At 39.7% G+C, this 20,398-nt stretch overlaps 1 long non-coding RNA gene across 1 annotated transcript in view, besides 2 other annotated features; it reads right to left on the bottom strand.

Annotated features, from left to right (window-relative positions):
• The window catches only part of DLEU1 (deleted in lymphocytic leukemia 1), a 446,475-nt gene that overhangs the window by 267,993 nt on the left and 158,084 nt on the right, over nucleotides 1–20,398 (bottom strand). The window lies entirely within an intron of this gene.
• Nucleotides 11,081–11,596: an enhancer, noted in NCBI's record as "NANOG hESC enhancer chr13:50823191-50823706 (GRCh37/hg19 assembly coordinates)". NCBI's record gives its function as "activates a minimal SCP1, AML or CMV promoter by ChIP-STARR-seq in naive H9 embryonic stem cells {active_cell/tissue: H9 hESC(naive)}" and the evidence as "EXISTENCE:reporter gene assay evidence [ECO:0000049][PMID:30033119]".
• Nucleotides 15,235–16,434: an enhancer, noted in NCBI's record as "CDK7 strongly-dependent group 2 enhancer chr13:50818353-50819552 (GRCh37/hg19 assembly coordinates)". NCBI's record gives its function as "activates an origin of replication core promoter dependent on BRD2, BRD4, P300/CBP, MED14 and CDK7 cofactors, with strong dependence on CDK7, by STARR-seq in HCT116 cells {active_cell/tissue: HCT116}" and the evidence as "EXISTENCE:reporter gene assay evidence [ECO:0000049][PMID:35650434]".

Raw genomic sequence — 20,398 nt, 5'->3', positions numbered from 1 at the left:
CAGGGTTAGAATTCAGACTTGTAGGGTTATGTCTGAAAGATAAGTGGAGTGACTCAACTAGAATATATTGGGAGGCTGAGGCAGGCAGATCACAAGGTCAGGAAATCGAGACCATCCTGGCTAACACGGTGAAACCCCATTTCTACTAAAAAAAAAAATACAAAAATTAGCCGGGCATGGTGGTGGGCACCTGTAGTCCCAGCTACTCAGGAGGCTGAGGCAGAAGAATGGCGTGAACCTGGGAGGCGGAGCTTGCAGTGAGCCGAGATCGCCTGCACTCCAGCCTGGGTGACAAGAGCAAGACTCCATCTCAAAAAAAAAAAAGAACATATTGGTTTGAGGGACTGAAGTAAGAAGCCAGTTGAAAATGATTCATGCTAAGGTGAAAACATGCGCATGCAACATCAATGTCCCTGTGTTAGAGTGCACAACATAGTGTCAGCCTAGCAAAAAAAAAAAAAAAAAAAAAAAAGTGGAGGGGAACGTCCATGAAATCTCAAAGATTTTCTGTTAAAAATGGTAGACTGGACTCACACTTCAGATTCTTCTCCATCCCAAAACTGTAATGAAATGCCAGTACAGAGATTTGCTTAAAGGCATAAGCCCATAAGGACAAATGTGAAGATGGGAGACGCTACAATAGCAAAAAAAATAATTTTTGGAAGTTAGCTGATGAAAAAGTGGTAACTGACATCACAGTACAAAGAAAGCTAAATCCTTATCTACATCAGGGAAGGCCCAGAAGCAACCCAATTCCTACCTCAGAACCTCAGGTATCTCAGGAAAGAGAGAATAATATTAGGCTAAAATTGGTTTGCTTAAAAGTCTTCAAATTCCTACTCTCCCTACTAGATGACAAAGGTTTATTCTCTAGAGAGGGTAAAAAGAAGGTCTCTGGATTGCAAGACAATAAACACTAATGAGTGTGGATGTATCATATTGAAAACAGGTGGATGAAGTAAAATGCAAGATATTGAGACCCCCAGGCTTATTTTCTCACTCAGCTCCCATAACACTGACAGGCTTCTACCCTCTGGCAGTAGGTTGGAAGAGTCTTCTCTAGGAATCCAACCAGCCCAAGAGAAAAAGAAACTAAAGTTATGAGCATCAGAAATTTATCCAAAAGAATATTCTAGCCAAACCACCCTCAAGTGTATCACATATACACACACAAGGTTTTCAATAGGCTTTCTATGTCCCATTTTAGCATATGAACAGGCAATTAAGGATATAAGATATACGAGGAAAACTTCTATTATGAAAGACAAATACCAAATAAACAAAAAGAAAAAAGCACCTTGGAGGAAACAGAGTGTGTAGGGGGAAAAAAGCTTCAAAAAATCTATCAGTAATAACTTCAGAGAGATAAAGGAGAATATTGCACTTATGGGGAAAAAAGAAAAGGAAGAAGAAAAACCAGATGGAGAATGGGAGAGAAAACCTAAGAAAACTGGAGAATCAGTCTAGGAAGTTCAATATACATATAATCTAGAGGAAAAAAAAAAAAAACAAGAAAAAATTATCAGCAACATAATTCAAGAAAATTTCCTGAAAATGAAAGACAGGAGTTTCCTCATCAAAAGAGCCCACTGAGTGTCCAGTACAATGGCTGAAAGCATACACACACCAATATATACATAATTGTGAAGATTTCCAATATTGAGGATCCTGAAAACATAGAGAAACAAAAATTTTCATAAAAAGGAGTAGTCAAAAGGACAATAAACTTCTCAACAGAGAAACCAGAGGCAAGAAAACAATGAAGCATTCACTTTACAATTGACAGAAAACAATTTCTAGCCTTGAATTTTATACTTTGAGAGGTTTACATGAAAAATATCTCAAAACATTTTTTTCTCCCATGCACTCTTTCTTCAAAAGCTACCAGAAGGTGTGCTCTGGCAAAACAAGGGAACAAAGCAAGAAAGAGAAAACATGAGCTCTAGATAACAAGTTACCCCATACAAGAGAAGGAATCTCCAAAACGGTGATAAATGAAGATTTATAAGGAAACAGCTATGCAGTAGACCCTGCTCAGCCTGGAGCTGGTCTTAGGTTCCAGAAGATACTTCTTCAAGAAAATGAATTGAGAGAATATTTAACTTTTGTGAGCATAAGGAAAGAAGGTTTATAAAACTAGTGTATTCTTGGAAGACAATTTGATTAAATTGGTCAAAGTTAGTGCTCAATATTTTAGGTAAATGAATAAATGGTCCAACTATATTAGTAGAATAGGGGTATGAGAAATGAGTGTCTACATAGTGAAAGCAAAAAAGATAAAAGAAATCTAAATTTATTACTTAAAAGGCAGAAATCTTACCAGCTATTTGAATAGAGATCTTTTCACATTAAAAATGTGTCAACTAGGCACAAAGCTGAGTTTGTAAAGCTAGGGTAAAAAGAGAACTCTTAGGCATCAAGGAGGTAGGTCTATGTGAACAAAGGAAACTTTTGGAGGAGACCTGTGACCGTTTGTTGCTGGGGTCTCCAAACGTGGAAGAGAGGCCCCATGGGGCTGAAACCCAGAGCTCTAAGGAGGTGGTGCTGCTCAGCTAGTGCTCTATGGGGATGCCATGAAGCCAGACCCACAAGTTTAGGAAGAACTACAAACTGGATTCAGCTGCTGCAAGAGCAAGGAACTGCCATCACCACAATATAGAAGGATTACTAGACTAATGCCCAGAAGAATAGCAAGTGGCTAGGAGGAAGCAAGTCCTTCTTTCCCTCTAGGCTTGCAGGCTCCCCCCAGTCCCCTCTATATGCAGAACCTGACATAGGCACGGCAGGCAAAGCTGAAATTGAGTGTGCAGTATCCCGATACCAGCATCCAAAACAGAATATAAACCACTGAAAACTGGGTTCTTTGTCATCACAGCAGAACCCAGCAGACACTTAAAACCAACCTGTGGTATTAGAAGTGAGGGTAAAAGTTACTTTTGATGAGTTAATGATAAGAAGGAGGTTTGCAGGAGGCCTCCTGGGGCTCTGGCGATGGTCTCTTTCTTGATCTAGGTGCTGGTTTAAATGAATGGAGGCTTGCCTTTGACATGCTACTACTTCCCATTTCTATCTCCTATGCTTCATGCTGATTTTTATACTCCACTCTCAAAAATATATCCTCTACATCATTCCATGAATGTCTCTCTTTTAGCCATTTATTAGAAAACTCCTAGTTCCCTTAGAAAGCCACCATTCTCAAGGAGACATTTGAATTTTTTTATTATACTTTAAGTTCTAGGGTACATGTGCACAACATGCAGGTTTGTTATATAGGTATACATGTGCCATGTTGGTTTGCTGCACCCATCAACTCGTCATTTACATTAGGTATTTCTCCTAATGCTATCCCTCCCCCAGGCTCCCACCCCTTGACAGGCCCTGGTGTGTGATGTTCCGCACCCTGTGTCCAAGTGTTCTCATTGTTCAATTCCCACCTATGAGTAAGAACATGTGGTGTTTGGTTTTCTGTCCTTGTGATAGTTTGCTGAGAATGATGGATTCTAGCGTCATCCATGTCCCTGCAAAGGACATGAACTCATCCTTTTTTATGGCTGCATAGTATTCCATGGTGTATATGTGCCACATTTTCTTAATTCAGTCTATTATTGATGGATATTTGGGTTGATTCCAAGTCTTTCCTATTGTGAATAGTGTCGCAATAAACATACGTGTGCATGTGTCTTCATAGTAGCATAATTTATACTCCTTTGGGTATACACCCAGTAATGGGATTGCTGGGTCAAATGGTATTTCTAGTTCTAGATCCTTGAGGAGTCGCCACACTGTCTTCCACAATGGTTGAACTAGTTTACACACCCATCAACAGTGTAAAAACGTTCCTATTTCTCCACATCCTCTGCAGCATCTGTTGTTTCCTGACTTTTTAATGATCACCATTCTGACTGGTGTGAGATGGTATCTCATTGTGGTTTTGATTTGCATTTCTCTGATGACTAGTGATGAAGAGCATTTTTTCATGTGTCTGTTGGCTGCATAAATGTCTTCTTTTGAGAAGTGTCTGTTCATATTCTTCACCTACTTTTTGATGGGGTTGTTTGATTTTTTCTTGTAAATTTGTTTAAGTTCTTTGTAGATTCTGGATATTAGCCCTTTGTCAGATGGGTAGATTGCAAAAATGTTCTCCCATTCTGTAGGTTGCCTGTTCAGTCTGATGGTAGTTTCTTTTGCCATGCAGAAGCTCTTTAGTTTAATTGGATCCCATTTGTCAATTTTGGCTTTTGTTACGATTGCTTTTGGTGTTTTAGTCATGAAGTCCTTGCCCAGACATTTGAATTTTTAAAAGGAAATCCTTGATTAGAGCAAAGGGGTATGTGTGTGTGTGTGTGTGTGTGTGTGCATAAGACAAGAGAGATTTAAACATGGATGAAGGCAGGTGATGTTGATAGGTACACCTGCATTCTACAACAGAATTTAGAAGGAGAAAATGGCTGTCAAAGAAATTATAGCAAATGAATAATGTATAATTCAATATGTAGTCAGGTCTACTCACACAGACAGCTCCAAGACTAGTGCAAACACCATGAATAAATATATTCAACATCAATAAAGCCAAGCTGAGTTTGAAAAGGAGCTTGGAAAATCAAAGTCCTGTTGTTTGGGATAAATTTTCTTTAGTGAGTTGAAAGCCAGCCTTGGATGCAGTGCATACAGAAAACAGATAGCTCAAGCTATGACCACTGGCTCACATTTGCCACTTCAAGCCTCCTACAAGAAACATAACAGTGAGCAAAGGAAAACCATAGGGCTGGGTTTATTTTTTTCACCTGTAGTTCTTTCATTTTGGTGAGATATTCTTTCCTTTAACTTGACCACACAAGTAACATGTGGTTTTGTTTATGATGTTGTGAAAGGAAAGAAAATCAGAGCAGAGGTGCAAGGCCAATGGCAGTGGCATTATGAGATGCTGCTGTCCTTTATTGACATGAAGTCAAGTCCCCAAGAACACATGCACAACATCAAAAACATAGTATCCAAACGCTCCATAAATAGAACATTTTTCTTTTAATATTTAATATGTCTTTTCCAAGTTGTCTGTAATCAGCCAGTATCACTTTTATAATCAGAAAAACATAATAAATCTTTAAAATATTGAATAGGCCTTCTCTCTTTTCTTCTACAACTTCTCAATTCTATGCAGGCAACATTGCTTTTAAAAAACTCTTGATAGTTCTAACTGTGCAGGTCAGTGAATTATTTGCAGTAGCTGAGAGAGCTCAAACAGCTGTGACTGTTTAGAGGTATCATTGGGACTTCATTCCCAAAGTATCACAGCAGCAGTGACCTGCAATAGTTCACAGATTTAGCAGACCAGTTTCCTGCCCCAAAACTCCTACAGTGCTTGACATCTGACCATTCAAAGAAAGAATACAAGAGGAGTACATTGTAAAAGTGACACTGAAAACATGAATAAAACAAAAAAAAATTATAAAAAAGGACTACTGATAGCAGTGGTACTTTCCTGAAAGAATACTTGTTCTTGAGAGATCTCCAACTTCAAATAGAGAACACAGGTAGGAACACATAGCAGATGTTTCTATCTACTAGTGGATGTTCCTATTAGATGTTCCTATCCAACACAAAATAGATGGGAATGTTCAGAGACTAAAAAACGAATACATATTTTTTTCAGTTATCATCATTCTATTAAGCAATTGTCAACAAGTTTCCTTCAAGACAAGACATATCTCTTTCTCTTTAGTTTCCCAGTTGCTCCCAAAGAGTAAGAAGGTGTTCCACCCCACAGCTTTTCCAAACACTAATTTTTTTTTTTTTTTTTTTTTTGAGACAGAGTTTCACTCTTGTTGCCCAGGCTGGAGTGCAATGGCACAATCTCGGCTCACCGCAACTTCTGCCTCCCAGGTTCAAGCAATTCTCCTGCCTTAGCCTCCCTAGTAGCTGGGATTACAGGCATGTGCCACCATGCCCGGCTAATTTTGTATTTTTAGTAGAGACGGGGGTTTCTCCATGTTGGTCAGGCTGGTCTCGAACTCCCGACCTCAGGTGATCCGCCCACCTCGGCCTAACAAAGTGCTGGGATTACAGGCATGAGCTACCGCGCCCGGCCTCCAAACACTAATTTATTTCAAACTGAGTGACTGCTACCGAGGCAGAACAGCCTCCAGTGAACCTGTGTGTAAAACTAAAGACTGTATTGACTCTAACTCTACTTTGAAACAGTACAATATCTTCCTTCAAGGAAACATTTGAATTTTAAGTGGAAATATTTGATTAGAGCAAAGATGTGTGTGTGTGTGTGTGTGTGTGTGTGTGTGTGTGTGTGTGTGTAAAATGAGAGATTTTTAAATGGCTGAATACAGGTGATGTTGATAGGTACACCTGCATTCTATAAACTTCAGTAGAATTTTTTGTTTCACATTACCATTTATATTATATATTCTTCACTTTTCAAGTTACCAACTCTGTGTGCAGTTATATCAGAATAGTGAATATATGCCCACTCTTTTAACATTGCTTAGATGTGCTTAGTGGTGAATTCCTAAGCTCACACAAATTTTGTATGAATGAGAGACTAACCTTTGGTGTTACAACTATGCTGTATAAGGTTAACACATGTTAGATCTGGCAGTTAAAGACACTAAAGAGAGGGCAATAATTAGTGCCAGGCTTTTTGCTTGGAAATCCTGTTGATAGCATATTTTCCTCCAGTGAATTACATTGTGACATGCACTGAATTTTGACAATGGGCTATCCCAAGCCTATATGAAATGCAAAACGATTTTTCTCTATACTATACTTTTAAATATCTTGGGAAATGACTGAAAATAGACTTGAAATACCCTTTTCTAAATTTGCATAATTCCCAATTATTGGAGCTCTTTCTAAAGAGCACTCTGGAGGACAGCTCCATGCTATAGATACAGAGAACAGGTTCTTGGATGGCAGTCCCACAACAAAGGGAAAAGACAACCCACAGATCCCATAAGGTCAAGGGCAAATGTGGGACCTCTGGTCCCAACAAATGAGTCCTAAAGCCACTGAGTTATCTAGACTCTTCCCCCAAATTAACCTTCACCCAGGAAACACTAATTCCCACATGCCATTGAAGAGGCCGAGAAACATCATAAGCTGAGAGTGATTACAAGATTGGTATTTCCTTAAAGGCCAATGGACAGACTGGGCAAGAAGAGTAGGGTGTATTTAAATGCAAGGGTCTGGGGAATATAATCATATAATCTTTACATCAGTGGAGGACATTCCAACAGTTGTGTGTGGTCTGCACCATGTTTTCCCAATTTATTAGTGCTATTCAAATATAACAGTAGAATCAACTCAATGTGTGTGCTGGAAATTCCAGTCCCTATTCCAAAAACACTCTCTTGTCATCACCTCAAACACTGGCATTCTAATCAATGTCATATTTGAGAGAATAAAATGGCAGAGGAAGTGAAAAAAGAAAAATCTATTTCTCAGAGCCCTAATCACTTCTAAGCCCGACAACTCCAAATTGGGTTTCTTGCAAGATTACCACTTCCATCTGAGCTGAATTGCCTCAACTTGGGGCTCATCCCACATGGCTGGGTGAGGACATTCTTCAAATGTCATGTTATAGGACACATCAGCTGTCTACATGTCTTCACCTCCTACTCATTTCTCAACCTATTCCAATCTGGCCATATTATTCCACTTTTATCACTCCTGCAAAACTGCTTTTACTGAGGCCACCAATGAGCTGAGATGACATGTGTCCAGTTCGTATCTTACTAGATTTCTCAGCAGCAGTTGACCCTGCTATCCGATTCCTCCTCAAAGCTCTCTCTTCCTTGGGTTTCACTGACATTACGCTCCTGGTTTTCCTCCCAACTCTGCTGCTCCACCACACTCTCCCTTAAGAACTCTTTCCTCTTAGCCGGGCCTTTAAATGTTGAAGTAATTGAAGATTTAGTCCTAGAAACTCACTTTTCTTCTCACTCCATATTTTTTCACTAGGTCATCTTGTCCACACCCATGGTCACCACTCTGTATAAATGCAGGAGACACTATTCAGACCACAGTCTATGTGAACGGCTCTCCATGAATTGAAGTGCCTGGTTTGAGTGGTTGTAAGGATAGCTCTTCCTACCCCCATGGTTTTAATTACCATCTATACGTTACTGACTCCCAGATGTGTGTCTCAGGCCCAGACAACTTCAAACCCAAGCCCACATATACAACTGACTACTTGGAATCCATTTGTTCATCTCAAAGCCACTTAAACAGTATGTCCAAAATGGAATCCATACCCTGCCTGGACAGACCTGGTCCTCCTTCAGCATTTCCTGTCTCTGCAAATAGCCCAGCATCCATCAGTTGCCCAATTTAGAAAGCTGGAAGCCATCCTTGTCAATTATCTCTGGCACCATCAACAAATAATGATTGCATGTTTGTTTATCTATCTCTCTCTACTAAAATGTAAGTCCTTTGAATGCTGGACTTGCTCATTTGCCACTGTGTCTCCAGAGCTAGAGGGATGTAAGGAATATAGCATCTGTTGAATGAGTAATAAAGCCTTATTGATTTTACCTTCCATCTAGCTCTTAACTCACTTCCATCATTATCCAGGAGACTTGTTTGGGTTGCTCCCTTAGGTTTCCTCTCCTGGTTTAGTACATGCCTGATCGTCTTTCAGATCTCAACTCAACAGCACTCCCTCAGAGACCTCCTGAGGGCCCAAACTGCGTCAGGCCCCCTTTGTTGTCATAGCTCTTTTATCTTGACACTTCATTCCCTATCTGTCCTCCACAACATTTTAATTTTTGTCTAACCTCTATCTAAATCATTCTTCTCTCTTCCATTCCCTCAAAATTGCTCGTTAATTCACCCAAAAAAAGTACCAAATCTCAGGTACTGAGCTAGGTGCCGAGAATCATGAGAGAATAAATCCAATCTCAAGCAGTTTAGAGATGAATAAAAGACAAAAACTACGAGCAAACCATATAACACAGTAGGTAACATTTGCAAAATTTGAGATGAATACAAAGAAGTGAGATAGTACAGAAGAAAAGGCGATTAACATCATCCAGGAGAGGGTGGTCAGAGAAGTGTCACTGAGTGGGTTTTTCAAGGAAGATTTTTCACTCTTACTTCTCTGTAGATGATTCATGAATTCAGAGCACCCATGTAAATCATTTTGGTTTCCAATATTTTCTCTTTTTTTTCTATATTTTATTTTAACCCATTCCTCAAGGCCAGCCCTAGACAGTTTGAGTCTAGAGAAATGTGGTATCTTATTCCATGGCCTCCCCTTCATTATCCTTTAATTTCAGGTCACTCCCCCGACCCCAACAAGGCCTTTGCCCCTTCTTTCCTTTCTCTTCCTTCAAAAAGTAATGTTACACTTACTCCTGCTAATGTATTATATTTTCTTAGAATACATGAATTTTATAAGATGCCCTTGAGAGAAAGTCACCCTAAGAAATGAATCTCCATATAAGTGTGGAAGATCTGCTCCAAACTCTTTAATTCATAACAAACAAGACCTTCTATTTTGTCTGTAAGTCACACCAACACTGCCAAAACAAGCATGAGTCTCCAAGTTTACTATAATACCTCTATGTGCATCTTGGATTATTTCTCTCTCCAGCAAATATGAGAAAAACTTGAAGTGATCCTCACACACGAACTTTGCAAAAGAACATTTAGATTTCACGGAAATCAGCAGGTGTGGTAACTCATACCTGTAATCCCAGCCCTTTGGAAGATCAAGGCAAGAGGATCACTTGAGGCCAGGAGTTTGAGACCAGCCTGGGCAACAGAGTGAAATCATGTCTTTATGGAAAAGAAAAAGATAATTACCCAGGCATGGTGGTACATGGCTGTAGTCCTAGCTACTCAGGAGGCTGAAGCAGGAGGATCGCTTGAGCCCAGAAGTTCGAGGTTACAGTGAACTCTGATCATGCCACAGCACTCCAGCCTGGGCAATAAAGCAAGACCTTATCTCTAAAAAAAAAAAAAAAAAAAAAGGTTCTTTACAAAAACGATTTCAGGGAAGCTTGATGACGGGGCTTTAGGGAAGTTCACTGGTGACATCTCGCTGGGATTCTCTTCCCCTCCCTTCACGCTTGGCCAATCTCTACACTTTATTCAGCCTCAGCTCAAACACTACTTCTTCAGCGAAGCCTTTCTTTTCTCACAACCCTCATTCTCATGGTAGCTTGTGGAATACTTCCACATATGTAATTAATTATTTAATGTCTATCTCCCCCCAAGAGATGTGTCTGTCTTGTGTTCAGCTGTATTCTCAGAGCTTAGCACAGTGCCTGGTACATAGAAGTTCTCACAGCAAGTATGTGTTGAATTGAATTATTATATCTGTGCTGTCCACGTGCTTCTATTGCTGCAACTATCACACTATATTGTAATGTGTTTGTTTCCATGTCTGTCCCTTAAGAGTAATCATAAATCACTAATTTTTGAATTCCCAGAGTGTAACACATTGCCAGGATAATCAATAATGAGGAAGGAAGGAAGGAAGTGAGGAAGGGAGGAAGAAAGAGAGGAAGGGAGTGAGGGAGGGAGGGAGACTCACTGACATTTCTACAGTTCCAATGAGATCTTAATAATAAATCCTGTTTATTATTATTTAAATAAAGCAGAGAATCAGGCTCTCAGTGTTAGAAGACTCAAAGATTCACAGTAATTCCTAACTTCCTCACGGGTTCTTTAGTCAGCATGTTTGCAAGAATCTATAGCAATCTCATTGTCCTCCTCCGGAAAAGAGAATAAAAACTAACATTTCTGGGCACCTACTATGTGTCAGGCACTTTACATACAGCATAGTTAGTTTAGCAACAAACTAACTGAATAAACATCCATTGAGTTGGTACTAAGTGCCCTGCACATGACCTTGGAGATCAAAGATTTATTATTGTCCCTTTAAAAAATATGACTCCTTGAACTCAGTGCAAAATTTCAGTTGCGTCCTAGTCAGTACAGGGGTGTGGGATGCACTGTCTCTATCACTCCAGCATAGGATTCCAATAAATCACTTTACCACTGCAGACCTCAGGTTGCCTAACACAGTGCTTATGGCCAACTAACTCCTCACTGAGACTTTTTTAATTTAAATGCTGTCAAGCCAATATGTCCCCCACCTTGATTGAGTCAATTCATTTCAAAACTTAAACTGAGTTTATACTTTTGGCTTTACACTAATTTTAGACTATCACTGTAGCCAGTCCAAATTGTAATTCTCTAGTTCATGCCTATTCTATCATCAAACACAAAAGAACAGCAGGCTAAACCTACAAAGTGACCTTGGACAAGTCTCTTAACTTCTCTGAACAGGGCTAACCCACTGAACAACTCCAGGGGGCCCCATTCATCCCATTGTCTATGCGAATGCCTCCTCCTGAAGTTGTGTTGTGGTCTCAGCCCTGGATCTGCCATTCCTCATCTGTAAAATCAATGGGTTAGACCAAAAACCTTACTCTATGATTTGGGGTCACTTATACTTTTTGATAATTATTCCTTCTATACTTTCATCTTCTTTCCTAATAAAATTACTGATGAGCTGCAAAATACAGAGTAGGATGTGTGTCCCCCAGGTCTCATTTTGCATTCTTGGGAGGCTGCTCTAACTAGGTCAACAGTCACCCTTCACTTCCTTTAGAGCACCATAGGCCTTCAAGAGTGTGGAAGGAGCAAGCAAACTGCCACTTCCTTGTCACACTGAGCAAAATCCTTGTGAGCAATGATGTGTAACAACATGAAACATATATTCTGAAAAACCCCTGAAAAAAGACATCTGGCCGACCCTCAATGGATCTCATCCACAGAGAGAATAGAATAACTGATCTGAAAGTCACTGGTCTTGGCATTGTGATCGATTATGTGCCTTGCTCTTTTGGTTTTGTTGAGGCTGACATCCATAATAGTGAGCTGTGATTGGCTGTTACTGGAAAGACAGGAAAATGCCATGCAGCACAGTGCTGGTTCAAAATGAAACCAATAGTACTAGATTTCTTTATGTTACTAATTATGTCTCCTGAAAATGGGTAGTAAGTTGGGAAATAATTCGATAAAAGGAAACATGATAAATGTACTATTTATCAGAGTGGGCATGGTGGCTCATGCCTATAATCCCAGCACTTTGGGAGTCTGAGGTGGGTGGATCACGAGGTCAAGAGATAGAGACCATCCTGGCCAACCAACATGGTGAAACCCCATCTCTACTAAAACTACAAAAATTAGCTGAGTGTAGTGGTGCATGCCTGTAGTCCCAGCTACTTGGGAGGCTGAGGCAGGAGAATCACCTGAACCTGGGAGGCGGAGGTTGTAGAGCCGAGATCATGCCACTGCACTCCAGTCTGGGTAACAGAGTGAGACTCCATCTCAAAAAAAAAAAAGTACTATTATCTATAAGAGGCAAATTAGCATGTGCAAAAGCCCTGCCTGACATGGGGGCAGAGGTTAGTGAGTTCCAGAAACTGAAGGAAACCAAGGTGTTAAGAGCACAGTGAGCAAGGGGGAAGAGGGTGGGAGATGAGGCCAAGAGGGACCAGACCCTACATGGATGTGTCGACCACGTTAAGAAACTTGGGTTTGAACATCCTTGTCCAACAGTAGAGGAATGGGGTAGTAAATTAGGTTATTGCAGCACCACAGAATTCTACCCATCACTGATTCCCAAAGTATGTTCTAAACAGTTTTTAGTGTGACAGTTTTTCATAGTGTAAAAAGAAAACATTTCACGTAAATATTAATTTGGAGAATATGTGTCAAATCCTCATCTTTTAAAAAAGCATTTTACAATATTATAGGCTTTCAGAAATACTACAGTGAAGAAATTTGTTTACTTTTATAATTTCCCAAACTTATTTGACTTCAGTGATGTTTTATTATCCCCAAGTAATGTCAATTAAATCTCAAGAAAATAGCATTCTGTAGAATATATTTTGGTAAATATTGCTATACATTCATTATAGATGATCACATATGGGAAGCCTATAGAAAAATGAAAAACATACCATGATACAACTATATAAAAATATACATGTATGCAAAAGTTATATTTAACTCAAAAACATCTGCTGCTTAGGATGACAGATTTATCAGTGATTTATTTATTTCTTTAAGTCTTCTTTAACACTGATAATAAATCATTTTTTCAATTAAAAATTATAAATTAGTCAAAAGCAATGAGAGCCATATTTTTTTAACTTATTTGAATTTTTGCCAATTCAATCAATCCATGGGTGGCTGCACAAATTTCACTCCATTAGTGAAATTTCACATTCATTATTATGAGGAAGAAACTAGTCATCATAATACCAGTTCTAATCCCTTGCTGGCAGGTTAATCTAATTAACTTCTCTTAATTGGATGAGTTAATTTAAACTAAAATGCAATTTGATTCATACCATGTTTCACTCCAGACATCACCATAGGATACATGGAATTCTCCGAACTCTTCCAATCCCATTACTACTCAGAAAGCCATTTCAAAGAGCATTTCACAGGCAGAGATCAAAACCTTTCTAAAACGTAAGTGTTGGGGCCAGAAATTAAGTCACTGTATTTTCAGTAATTCATTCATTTATTTATTCAACAAATACTTATTGAGAGCACTAGGCAATGCCTAAGAATATAAAAATTAAAAAGAAAATCATTATCCACAATGAATTCTCAGTAGGTGATACAGACATGCAAAAAGAAATAATGGAATATGGAATAAATTCCCTTACTCTGGTGTTTATTGGCATAACATTAGTTCAGAAAAGAGAAGCCAGTTGTTCCCAGCACAGGAAGAGTGGGTCAGAAAGGCTTCAAAGAGGATGAAATGTTTGAGTAGTATCTTCAAAAATGGGTTTGCCAGGCAGATGAGATTGAGAACACATCCCAGGTACACAGAAAAGAGTGTACAGAACATAGATGTGTAACCCAGCATGAATGCCAAGTGGGACCTAGTAAGAAGGCACAAAAACCTGCTGTGAATCTATCAAATAAGATAGAAATTAACACACGACCGTAAGTTTGGATTTTAGATGGCAACAGCCATTATAAAGCAACAGAAGATTCAGCAAACTAAAGAGAAAGAGTCAAATCTCAGTTGGTTGAAGAGCAAATGAGTGTTGGCGCCGGGGGCAGTGGCTCACGCCTGTAATCCCAGCACTTTGGGAGGCTGAGGTGGGCGGATCGCTTGGGCCCAGGAGTTCAAGACCAGCCCAAGCAATATGGCGGAACCCTGTCTCTACAAAAAATACAAAAATTATCCCCGCGTAGTGGCACCCGCCTGTAAGCCCAGTTACTCGGGAGGCTGAGGCTGGAGAATCACTTGAACCCAGGAGGTGGAGGTTGCAGTGAGATTGCACCACTGCACTCCAGCCTGGGTAACAGAAGGAGACTCCATCTCAAAAAATAAATAAATAAATAAAAATAAAAGTGTCGGGAAGCATACTCAGTAGACCCAGTCATTTGTGGGGCTCAGACATTTTGGCAAGTGATAGACTTAATTCATGTAATAAGCAGGTGTTTATCATGGAATTCTGCTGTGCATGTATTAATTTAAAAAATAAATATTTGGCTGGGCGTGATGGTTCACACCTGTAATCCCAGCACTTTGGGAGGCCGAGACAGGCAGATCACTTGAGGTCAGGAGTTCGAGAGCAGTCTGGCCAACAAGGTGAAACCCCGTTTCTACTAAAAAATACAAAAATTAGCCCCGCATGGTGGCGCACGCCTTTAGTCCCAGCTACCCAAGAGGCTGAGGTGGGAGAATTGTTTCAACCTGGGAGGCGGAGGTTGCAGTGAGCCAAGATTGTGCCATTGCACTCCAGCCTAGGTGACAGAGCGAGACCCCATCTCAATCAATCAATCAATCAATCAATCACTATTTTGTAACTGAATTTCCAATGTGTAGCATCAACAGCTACACAGCTACAACTACAGTATGAGTGATTCTTATAATTTCAGCAAGTCATCCTTTCATTTTTTAAAAAACAATAGTACTCAATGGCAGGTTGCAAATAAATCTTGATATCCTCAGATTAAATGCTATATAAAAATAAAGGATAATCCACTTCAAGTACAAAGATTCCTAAAGTGCAGAGCAAAGAAGCATGTGTTCTGAAATCTTCAATGGAACAAAAGGAGAGTGGTGCAGTTCACAGCAATGCTGCTCTCGGAATGTTTGTGGTGGCATTTCCCTAAGTGTTGCAGGACATTTTGTAAGTACGTTTACTCCTGCATGAAGAGACTAGGCTGTGCTCACACTTAAAGAAAGGTAAAGGGGAACATTATAGAATGGAAGAATTACAAGGGATCTGAAGTGTCATCTATCTAACCTCTATATTTGATGGATGAAGAAGCAGAATTAGAGAGGTTAAGTGAGTCACCCATGGTTTACACAGTGAGTCAGAGCTGAAACCAAGCCTGCAACCCAAGATCCCAGCTTCTAGTCATCTGGTGTATTTGTTTTTGCTGCACCCTCCTGACCTGTCCCAAAGGCCAAAACTAAGTCAGAAACAGAGCTAGAAGTCAGTTACAAGTTGAGTCAACAATGCGGTGATGCCATTACCCCTGGGCCTGTAACTGAGGGTACTTTTTGTAGTGAACGTGGGGGAGGGAAAATCACTCTGAACACCTGTGCTGTGCATACACTCACAACTCATGGAGCAAAGTTCCTCTTCCACCATTTCATAGTCAGTCAGTCAACGAATATTTCCTGGGGGCTACTCCATGCCAAGGACAGTGCTAGGCCTTGGAGATTACACTAAACCAGACAGAGCCTCTCCGCAGAATTACATTCTGGTTGGGGAAGACAGATAATAAACAAGTCAACTAATGAATACACGAGACAGTGGTAAGTCCTAGGCAGAGAAATAAAATGTGATGATGTAATAGAATGTGACAAGAGGGAAGGTGGGCACTGCCTCATCTTGGGTGGCCAGGGGAAGCCTCCTTCTTCTTATTAGTGGCTGGTGCGGAGGGCATGCAGTCAGGCATTAGGCATGAACGTTCACATGAGAATCCATGAAAGTGGCCTAAGCCTGATGTTCAAGGGATAAGGTCAATCAGAAGTCAAGGCAGGCATATGTGTGTCTACGTGCAGGGGGATTTCTGTCCACGTGTCACCAACAGCAGCGGGGAGAGAGTGGGCGGAGGGCAGTTCAAAAGAATTTTCTGTAACAGTTTGCTGCTGTTTCCTTTGGCTTCTATTAGGCTTAGCTACTTAATATGCAATGGTTTTCACCCTGTGGCCTTCCTTCCTTCCTTGAGGCTCTAATAATATTCAATTGTCCCCCTTTTTTCCACATGACTTCTTTCTTATTTTAACTGGATACAACTGTTCATAACCATGGGATGAAGTAAAGGTGATGGAGACTACTATCAAGATCCCCATCCTAATCATAAGCATTTCTAGGACCATGACAAATGTGGGAGAGCAGTGGAAATGCTGATTCAAGGGGCCTTCCAATAAACACAAATGGACTGAATCCAAAGTGAATGCAACACCATCACAGCTTCTTAAGGGAAAACAGCAAGGGGATGTTGGAATTAATTTGAGGCCTCTGACATTGAGAGAGTTGGAAGCAATACAAAACTCAAAAAGTCAATCTGCTTTGGGAATGTTAAAAAGAAACACTTGTTTGGAAAGAATTTTTAAGTGTGCAAAACGAAGACTATTTTCAGTGGAATCTGCTCAGTGAGCCTGACCACACACTGGGGGATGAGAGATGTATCGCTGATAGTAAAAACACAGTATAAAAGATGAAAAATGGTGCACCTGTATAGGGCACTTACCATGAATGGAGCTTGCAGGACCAGAATTTGCTCTGGGTGAGTCGGTGAGTGAGTGGGGAGTGAATGTGACGGCCTAGTAATGATTGTTCACTACTGTAGACTTTAGAAACACCTACACTTAGGCAACCCTAGATTTATAAAAAAGATTTTTCTTTCTTTAATAATAAATTGACTTTACCTTACTGTAACTTTTTTCTTTGTAACTTTCATTTTTTAGCCTTTTTGACTTTTATAAAAATATTTGGTTTAAAACACAAACACATTGTACAGTTGTACAAAACATTCGTCCTTTATATCCTTATTCTATATGCTTTTTTCTGTTTTTTAATTTTTTTAATGTAAACATTTTTGTTAAAAACCAGAACACAAAAGCACACATTAGCCTTGGCCTACACAGAGTCAGGATTATCAATATCATTGTCTTCCACATCCATATCTTATCCCAAAGGAAGTCTTCAGGGGCAGTAACATGTGTGAGCCGTCATCTCCTATGATAACAACACCTTCTTCTGGATACTTCCTGAAGGACCTGCCTGAAGCTGTTTTACAATTAACTTTTTAAAATATAAGTAGAAGGAGTACACTCTAACATAACGATAAATAGTATAGTAAATACGTAAACCAGTAACAGTCATTTATTAGCATTAGTAAGTATTATGTACTGTACATAATTATAGGTGCTTTTATATGACTGGTAGCATGGTAGGTTTGTTTACACCAGCATCACCACAAACACGTGAGTAATATATTGCCCTACAATATCATGATAGCTACGACATCACTAGGTGATAGGAATTTTTCAGCTCCATTATAATCTCATGGGACCAGTGTTGTATATGAGGTCTGTTGTTGACCCAAATGTCATTATTTGGCACATGACTGTAGTTATTTTGTGTTTTGTAATGTCTTTCCCTACTCCTCCTTAGTATCTAGATGGACTTTTAATGCTTTATTTTCCTTGTCTATGTAATATTTAGGAAAATTTTGGATGGCTAGCGGGAAAAGATTATATATCGCCCTAGTTTATCTTCCTGGATAGTTTTTTCTACCACTGCATCAAGCATCAGTAGTTTCTAAAGAGGGACTCTTCTCATGACCACAATGCACTGAAAACATGCCACCCCCAAAATTCCACCATCCTGCTGCACCCATGGAAGATGAAGTGACAATGATATAATCACCCTATAACAGTGAGTTGCAAAAGCCCAGCTCTCGAGACTAGGGAAACAGAAATACATCTGAGGAAACTCCAGCTGCAGAGTTCAGTGTGCCTTCCTATTCTGAAACCTTCATTTTCCTATCCCTTGTTTTGCTGAACCAAAATTTTGACTAAATTCTCTTTTGTTTCTCTGGGAAAGCTCCTAATAATGTATTCCATATGATCACTGCCCTTGGAATGGTTAATTTTTTGCTTAAAGCTAAGGCACTTTATCTTCATAGTATTTTAAATGTGAAAGTTTTCTGTCCTTTGAAGAGATTGGAGACGTAAATTTGGAAATAGTTTTTATGGTGTGATAATAATAATATATACCTTCTGCTCACAACTCTTCACCAAGGTGAAGGAGGAAATAAAAAATATTTTAGGTCAGATTTATAGTGTTTAGATTTTAATATATTCTTTAAATATAAACATGATATTTCAGATAATCACTGAAAATTGTCTCAGTTCAACTTTTTCCACTGCAATAAAGGAAGATTTAAGATTGTACACTTATACATGTGGTAAAATATATGATATCATATGTATATAAAGTATACAGAAGTAGATAAACATCTACAGCCTAAAGATGTAAAGCCTGAGATTATATATTTTAAATTTTTATAGCTCATCTAGAAATCTAATTTTATCATCTCAGATATCCTGGCTCAAAGATATGGAATTAAGAACCACGATTTTACATGGCTACATATATTTTATAACATACATATAGTAAATTGCATGTTTTGTTTTATTAAATATAATGACATATCATGCTAACTTAATGGAGATACAGTTGATTCTCATTATTTATGGATTCTGTATTTGTGAATTCCCTTGCTCACTAAAATTTTTTTATAACCCCCAAATCAATACAGCACTTTCGTGGACATTTGCAGACATGCGCAGAGCCGCATAAAATTTGAGTCACCCAATGCACACATTCCTAGCTGAGGTCAAACAAAGCAACACACTGTGTTCTTGTTTCAGCTCTTGTAGTATAAACAAGTGTCCTTTTTGCTGTGCTACGTTTTTTGCATTTTTGTGCTTTTTTTGCTGATTTCACTGTTTAAAATGGACCCCAAGTATAGTGCTAACATTCTGACTAGTGTTTCTAAGTGCAAGAAGGCTGAAATGTGCCTCAGGAGAAAATATGTATGTTAGATTAGCTTCATTCTGGAATTAACTTTTCAGGAATAGTGCTGTAGGCTCTAAGTTCAATGTTAATAAATCAACAATACATAAGTAATAACGTCTTTTTAAATAGAAATACACATAAAACAAGATTACGTATTGATCAGTTGAGGAACTGTTGTGACCAGAAGCTGTATTTACCCCAGATGGGATGTTTCAGTATTCACTAATTCAGTATTCATGGCAACTTTACAGACCATAACTACCATGAATAATGAGAAGCAACTGTATAACATTTTATTTCTTTATTTATTTACTTACTTACTTGCTTACTTATTTATTTTAGAGACAGGGTCTCACTCTGTCACCCAGGCTGGAGTACAGTAGTGTAATCATGGCACACCGCAGCCTTGAACTCCTGGGCTTCAGTGATCCTCCCCACCTCAGCCTCCAAGTAGCTGGGACTACAGGTATGCACCACCACATCTAGTAAATTTCTTTCTTTTTTCTTTTTTTAGAGACAAGGTCTCTCTATGTTGCCCAGGCTGGTCTTGAATTCCTGGGCTCAAGCAATCCTCCCATCTCAGCCTCCCAAAGTGTGGGGATTACAGGCATGAGCCACTGCGCCAAGCTGTATGACCTTTTTAAATGCCCATGTTAATACAAATGCTCTCCAGGGTGTCCATGCTTCCCGTCCTGAGTGCACAAAGATCCTGACTGTGGAGTTCTCTTTCCATAGAGCCTAATTTAGTGCTATTAATGTGGGTTTCCTTAAGCTCCTTATCAGGTCATGCATACCCAAAGGGCAGGGGGCCAGGAGGAAAGTAATGACCAGCAACCCTGGGTGCCTGGACGGTACTCCCTACACAGCACAGTCCTAGCCAGAGCTGTTACATGACAAGCCAAAAGCAGCTCACAGAGGCTGCATCCTGAAGGAGCCTCATTAGGACTGAGGCCAGGTTCCTACACCTGAACGGGGCAAGACAAGAAGGGACAGTCAAGAAGAGAAGCCAGGAGAATCAGAAAGTGAGGTTCAAAGGGAAGACACAAAGGCAGGATTGACAGGGACAATCGAGTCAGAGTTCAGGAATTTGCAGAGAAGTTGGATGTAGATCATGGCCTCTGGCCTGGAGGGAGAGAGGGGAAGAGCAAAACTGCTGACAGGGGTCGGGCACAGTGGCTCATGCCTGTAATCCCAGCATTTTAAGAGGCCCAGGCTGGAGTATCACTTGAGCTCAGGAGTTCAAGACAAGCCTGGTCAACGTGGCAAAACCCCGTCTCTACTAGAAAATATAAAAATTAGCC

Source organism: Homo sapiens, chromosome 13, assembly GCF_000001405.40.
Source record: "Homo sapiens chromosome 13, GRCh38.p14 Primary Assembly".
In the NCBI taxonomy this organism is placed as follows: domain Eukaryota; kingdom Metazoa; phylum Chordata; class Mammalia; order Primates; family Hominidae; genus Homo; species Homo sapiens.
Note: the sequence above shows the minus strand (reverse complement) of the source record. Positions and strands in the feature narration are given on the sequence as shown.